At 47.1% G+C, this 6,371-nt stretch overlaps 2 annotated features.

Annotated features, from left to right (window-relative positions):
* Positions 3,546–3,615: an enhancer, noted in NCBI's record as "active region_4120". NCBI's record gives its function as "activates an Ori minimal core promoter by ATAC-STARR-seq in GM12878 lymphoblastoid cells {active_cell/tissue: GM12878}" and the evidence as "EXISTENCE:reporter gene assay evidence [ECO:0000049][PMID:35858748]".
* Positions 4,965–5,544: an enhancer, noted in NCBI's record as "OCT4-NANOG hESC enhancer chr10:121239005-121239584 (GRCh37/hg19 assembly coordinates)". NCBI's record gives its function as "activates a minimal SCP1, AML or CMV promoter by ChIP-STARR-seq in naive H9 embryonic stem cells {active_cell/tissue: H9 hESC(naive)}" and the evidence as "EXISTENCE:reporter gene assay evidence [ECO:0000049][PMID:30033119]".

The raw sequence follows: 6,371 nt of genomic DNA on the forward strand, positions 1-6,371 counted from the left end.
CAGCTACTTAGGAGATTCAACTCTACCTACTTTATAGAAAGAGAAATGCCTGTCTTAATGGTCCAGACAATTGCATGTTCCATCCCACACGGGGAGCATATTTCCCCTAAGTGAGTATAAGCTGGAGATGTGAGTCCAGTCGGCTGCTCTCAACTGCCCCGCTTGGTGAAAACATCCCACCACTGCATGTCATTCTGATGTTTACCCATACGTATTCTTCACCCAGCCTGGGCCCTCCACAGAGACCAACGACTGGGCGAGGCCCTTGCCCTAAGACCCAAGAATCTGTCCCCTGAGCCCGGGAGGTGGAGGGAAACCAGCCGTGCCAGTCTGCACCATAGTGTTTGCCTAGGGTATGTCCAAGGGAAATTTTGGTGAAGCAAGGTACATGCCCGATGCAAGGCCTTAGAACCTCAGCCCATGAGGAAGGAGCTCCTCTGTCCTTTAGCCAGGAGTGGTCGGAGCAGGGAGAAGGAGTGGTGAGGCTCTTGGAAGTGGGACCTCCATGGCTTGAGAATAAAGTTTGTTCCTAGCCGACCTAACGTCACCATCAGGCTGGCCCTCACCTTGCCCATAAGGAGAATAAACCAGTACTACCAGTGTGCCTGCTTGGAGGTTCTTGGGTGAGTATCTTGGGCATTTCCAGAGGCAGCCACCCCCACTCTACCCAACCCTCACTGAGGCTTTAGGGCCCTCCCCACCTGACGACCTTAAGCCTCTGATGAAATAAAAAGTATACAGTTTCTCCTTAGAAAAGTTGGGGCCCCTGAACTTGATGCCCACTGTTTCCCCAACATATGAGTGGTAAGAAGTAATAGAGAACAATCCTCTGTGCCCTTCACCCAGTTCCCTGCACAGGCAACATCTCACCAAACTCTGGTCCAACACCACGTGTACAGAACCAGGATGCTGACACGGACACTCAACACACGGAGCACGTCCATCACCACGAGGGTCCCTCCTGTTGCTGTTTCATGACCACGCTCACTTTCCTCCTGCCCCCACTGCCTCCTTAACCCCTGGTGCCAGTAATCGGTTCTGTATTCCTAAAATTTTGTCATTTCAAGAATGCCCTTGAATCCCATCTCTACAAAAAGTACAAAAAATTAGCCAGGCATAGTGGCGTGTGCCTGTGGTCCCAGTTACTTGGGAGGCTGAGGTGGGAGGATCATTTGAGCCCAGGAGGTCAAGGCTGCAGTGAGCATGATTGTGTCACTGCACTCCTGTCTGGGCAACAGAGTTGAGACCCTGTCTCAAAAAGAAAAAAAGAAAAAGAAAAAAAAAGAAAAGAAAAGAAAAGAAAACTCTTGAAATGGAATCATGTGATGTGTACCCTGTAAGGATTGTCTTTTTTTTCACTCAGCATCTTTCTCTGGAGATTTACCAGGTGTTTGCACATGACAATAACACGTTCCTTTTTATTGCTGTGTAGTATTCATGGAACGGATGGACACAACTTGTGTAACCATTAATGTGGTGAAGGACATCAGAGTTGTTCCAAGTTTTTGGCTCTAACAAATAAAGCTGCTGTGAGCTTTTGCGTACAGGGTTTTGTGTTGTTGGGGCCAAGGGAACTTCCCCTTTGTCCTCTGAAGGTCCTCTGGAAAATCAACTCACAAAAGGCAGATTCATTGGAGAAAAGGCGTACAAATTTACTTGATCATAGTTTTATGGGACATGGGAGCCATCAGAATAGAGACCCAACACCCAGGAGAGTGCAGAAGCTTAGACATTGTCCTGAGGTTACAGAAAGAATGGAGGCTCGGATGCTGGCAAAGCAGGTTGTAGGAAGGGAGAGAGGAGGAACTTTGCTGAGGGCCAATAAAGGATTCCTATGGAGAATTCAATGGGCTTGAGGAACATAAAAGCATCTGGGGCAAAGTCTGTTGGGCCTGCAGAGCGGACAATGGTTTGTGACAAAAGTCTGCCCAGGTTTGTTAAAAGAGAATTCCTTCCTTGCAATATGGGTTTAGTTCATGAAAACTCAGAGAAAGGATCAGAAGGCATTGTTTTCTTCTTAGGTAGGTCTGGACTTCAGGCAGATAAGGAAACTTCAGAGAATCCAATGCTTTGGAGAACAGTTGGGCTGGGGCAGTCAGAGAGACCTTGAAACTCCTTTTTCAGTTCAGCATGTCCAACATGCCATATTTTGAAACATCCGCTTCTGAACCCCAACAATGTGAACGTATATCTTCATTTTTCCTTCCTTCCCTCCTTCCTTCCTTCCTTCCTTCCTTCCCCCTCCCTCCCTCCCTCTCTCTCTCTCTTTTTCTTTTTCTTTCTTTCTTTCTTTCTTTCTTTCTTTCTTTCTTTCTTTCTTTCTTTCTTTCTTTCTTTCCTTCTTTCTTTCTTTCTTTCCTTCTTTCTTTCTTCTTTTTATTTCTTCTTTCGAGACAGGGTCTTTCACTGTCGCCCAGGCTGGCGTGCAGTGGCGCAATAATATCTCACTGCAGTCTTGATCTTCTGTGCTCAAGTGCTCCTCCCACCTTAGCCTCCTGAGTAGCTTGGGACCACAGGTGTGTGCCACCATGCCCAGCTAATATTTTTTTCTTTTTTTTTTTCTTTTGTGGAGATGGGGTCTCATCATGTTGCTCAGGCTGGTCTCGAACTCCTGCCTGAGCTCAAGTGATCCACCTGCCTCAGCCTCCCAAAGTGCTGGGATTACAGGCATGAGCCACTGTTGCCTGCCCATATATCTTCATTTCTTTGGAATAAATGGAAAGCAACCATTGGGTCGCATGGTAGTTGTATGTTCAGGTTTTAAAGAAACTGTGAACATATTTTCCAGAGTGGCTCTACCATTTCATGTTCCCACCAGCAGTGTAAGAGTGATCCAGTTTTTCCAAATCCTCACCAGCATTGGATGTTGTCCCTGTTTTTTATTTTAGCCATTCTGATAGATGTGCATCACTGTGGTTTCAATTTGCATTTCCCTAATGGCTAATGATGTTGAACATCTTTTCACAGGCTCAGTTCCATTTGCATATCCTCCTCAATGAGGTGTCTCTTCATGTCTCTTGCCCATTTTCAAATTCGATTGTTTGGCTTGTTGTTTGAGAGTTTGAGAGTTTTTTACCCTCTCTAGATATTAGTCCTTATTGCTAAATTTGTTGTGGTGAGTGGTTGAAGCCTTCGAGCCCTGTTCTGCAGTTTTCCTTATGAGTATAATACACACACATCTGGCTTCATAAAAGGCAGGGTGCCTCCCCAGAGAGGGAGCTGGGCAGGTTGACGGTGCTGGGTCACTCCAGCTGAGATCATTTGCAAGCCTGTCTTTTACAGCCCTTGGTTCTCTTCAAACCCCATGGGCATATTGTGTCTCTGGCTCCCAGTTCTTCCCACCACCTTTCCTATAGGTGGCTTCATCCTACACACTTTGGAGATGGTCATGATACCTTGATGATGACAGAGGGCTTGCACTTCTCCCTACAATGCCATAGATCTAGCCCATTCCTTAAACCGTCTCAAAAAGGCACCTCCAGCCCTTTTAACCTTTGATGCCGTACCCTGTCCTGTTGTTCTTTGCCACAGATTCCAGATTCCTATAGATCCGTGTCACTCATTGTGAATCAAAGCTATTCTGCAGGACACAGAATAAATGGCAGAAAGGGAGGTCACTGGAAAGCTTCATGTAGAATCATAGCTCAGGGCAGGACAGCCTGTGTGCTGCACGCTTGGCCACACCAGCCAACGGTTAAAGAAGTCAGCACTGCAGGGGATGCCCCAGAGAGGGTGAGCAGGAAATTGCAATCTACATAGACCCAAAGGTGCAGAGGAAAGGTCACAGGACCGGGCATCAGAGCCCCCTGCTCACTGCAGGTCTCTCTGTGTGTGTGGCAGGGGCGTGGCGGGGGGAGAGGAACAGGTGTCACATGACCTCTGTCCCTAAGCATCTGAACTGAAGAAGTAAAGAGGTCAGCCAGCCTCCTCCCACTCCAGACCTCTGGGATACTTAAAGTAAGTGTTGCAGGGTTTGTAGCATCTTGGAACCTTTCTTCCTACATCACAGAAAAAAAAAAAAAAAAGTCCAGTGAACCGGTTCCACCTCTTAAGAAACTGTGGTTTCTACAGCCTGAACTTGAGCAAAACTGGAACATCAGAAAATTATTTCCTCCTGCCCCATCTCTGATGTAATAGCAGATCCAGTCCTCAGCTCTGTTTCTATAGAGAAAGCTGGGTGAACGGGATGGGTCTTTATTGAGTTCCCTTTGACGTTCTTCCAAAAAATAGATGTGATTTTCCCCTCTCCCTCCCTCTGTCTCCTTCCATCATCCTTGCCTCCTTTGGACCCATAGAAGGGGGTTCTTGTGGGAAGTGATGATCTCTGAGCCAGGCCCTCTTTCAGATGAGCTATGAAGTTAGTTTGTTTACTTATTTTTTTCATCTAAACCCCAAATACCACAGAACCAGCACCTGCAATTTTTCCTAACACATCCTTTGAACTTGCTGCAAGTTAAACTGTAGAGGTTTCATTTCTCAGTTGTAATTCAGGGTGTCTTCCCCATGCCATTTGCTTCCAAGGAGCAACATCTTCCTCCCTTTCTACCCCAACTCCCATCAACAACTGAAAAAAACGAGAAATCAGAACTTCAGCCACAGCAGCCTTTCCTGGCTCTGTGTGAACACCGTGGAGAGGATACAGCCCTTGACTCCCTGGCCCTCCTCCCTCTCACGTCTAAGCTGGGAACACCATAAACAGTCACAGTGCTGAGCCAGGCAGAGAGGCAGACGGGTACAGCCAGACGGGACAGATGTAATTAGCAGCATCATTGCTTTGGTGTGCAGAATAGATAGCAGAATGCCGCCACCCACATGATGCTTTGGCAAATGTACTGTCGCTCATTTTCACAAACAATTCAATAGGTCTTTTAAAAGTGCCGACAACAAGCAAAGAAAGTCACGGAAAGAAACCAGAGTGACAACTCAGCCCGAGTGCCAAAGTTACTTGAGAGCTGCTCTGGGAACAGTGAAGCCAAACCAACTCCGAGTTCAATCTGATCCAAGTTCAGATGGACAGAGCCTGGCATCCATGGGGCAAGCAGTGGTGCCCGATTCATCGTCAGATAAAGTGAGCTCAGATGCCACCGTGTTCCTGATGTAGCTGTCACATGATGCCTCTGAGTCGTACTTTTTCCATCTGCTTAATGGGCATGTTGATCCTGGTGTGTGTATTTCTAGACTTGCTGTGAGGCTGGCGGGAGGCCACTTGGAAGGGAAAGTCTTTGTGATCTACACAGTGGGGGTCGTCATTAAGGAAGAGCCTCAGGAATTGCAGCCACAAGGACAGTGCCATTCCTAAGGTAAATCACGGGAAGAAGAAGCCTCTTAACCCCACCTCCTACAGCAGCGAGCATTAACTCCTCCCCAGTGGCAATTCCCCAGGCCTCTCTCCTCATGAAGCCCAAGGATCAATGAAGTAACTCTTACATTCTCCAGCACCCACATGGTCCAGTCTCGAGCCATTGTGCAGCTGGAGAAGCACAGTCCAGTGTGTTTTTCTTCTGTTTCCCCAGCACTCTGAAGGAGAGCCCAACACCAAGTTCTAATAATTTATTAATTTTTTTATTTTTAATGCATTTTTATTTTATTTTATTTTATTTTATTTTATTTTATTTTATTTTATTTTATTTTAGAAGGAGTCACTCTGTTGCCCAGGCTGGAGTGCAGTGGTGCAATCTCAGCTCACTGCAACCTCTGCCTCCTGGGTTCAAGCAATTCTCTTGCCTCAGCCTCCTGAGTAGCTGGGATTACAGGCATGTGCCACCACACCCAGCTAATTTTTTGTATTTTTAGTAGAGACAGGGTTTCACCATGTTGGCCAGGCTGGTTTCGAACTCCTGACCTCAAGTGATCCACCCACCTCGGCCTCCCAAAGTGTTGGGATTATAGGTGTAAGCCACTGCGCTTGGCCTTTATTTTTATTTTTAAAAGACAGGGTCTCACTTTGTCATCCAGGCTGGAGTGCAGTGGTGTAATCATGGCTCACTGCAGCCTCAAACTCCCAGGCTCAGACAATCCTCCCACTACTTAGCCTCCCAAGTAACTGGGACTAGAGGCATGTGCCTTCATGCCCAGCTAATTTTTTATTTTTTGTAGAGATGGGGGTCTCACACTGTTGCCCAGGCTGGTCTCAAACTCTTGGGCTCAAGCAATCCTCTCACCTCAGACTCCCAAAGTGCTGGGATTACAGGTGTGAGACATTGTACCTGGTTTGGGAGCCTATTAAAATCCTCATTTCTCTCCTATCCATGTCTCTCACCCTGGCAGCCACCCTGGCACCCCCTTCACTTCTCCCTTCCCTCTTCTGCCCCTTCCTGTATCATGTAGCTTTGCCTGGCATTTTTTCCATGGGCGGAGATGATGTAAGCCAG

This window comes from Homo sapiens, chromosome 10 (genome assembly GCF_000001405.40).
Source record: "Homo sapiens chromosome 10, GRCh38.p14 Primary Assembly".
Taxonomy (NCBI): domain Eukaryota; kingdom Metazoa; phylum Chordata; class Mammalia; order Primates; family Hominidae; genus Homo; species Homo sapiens.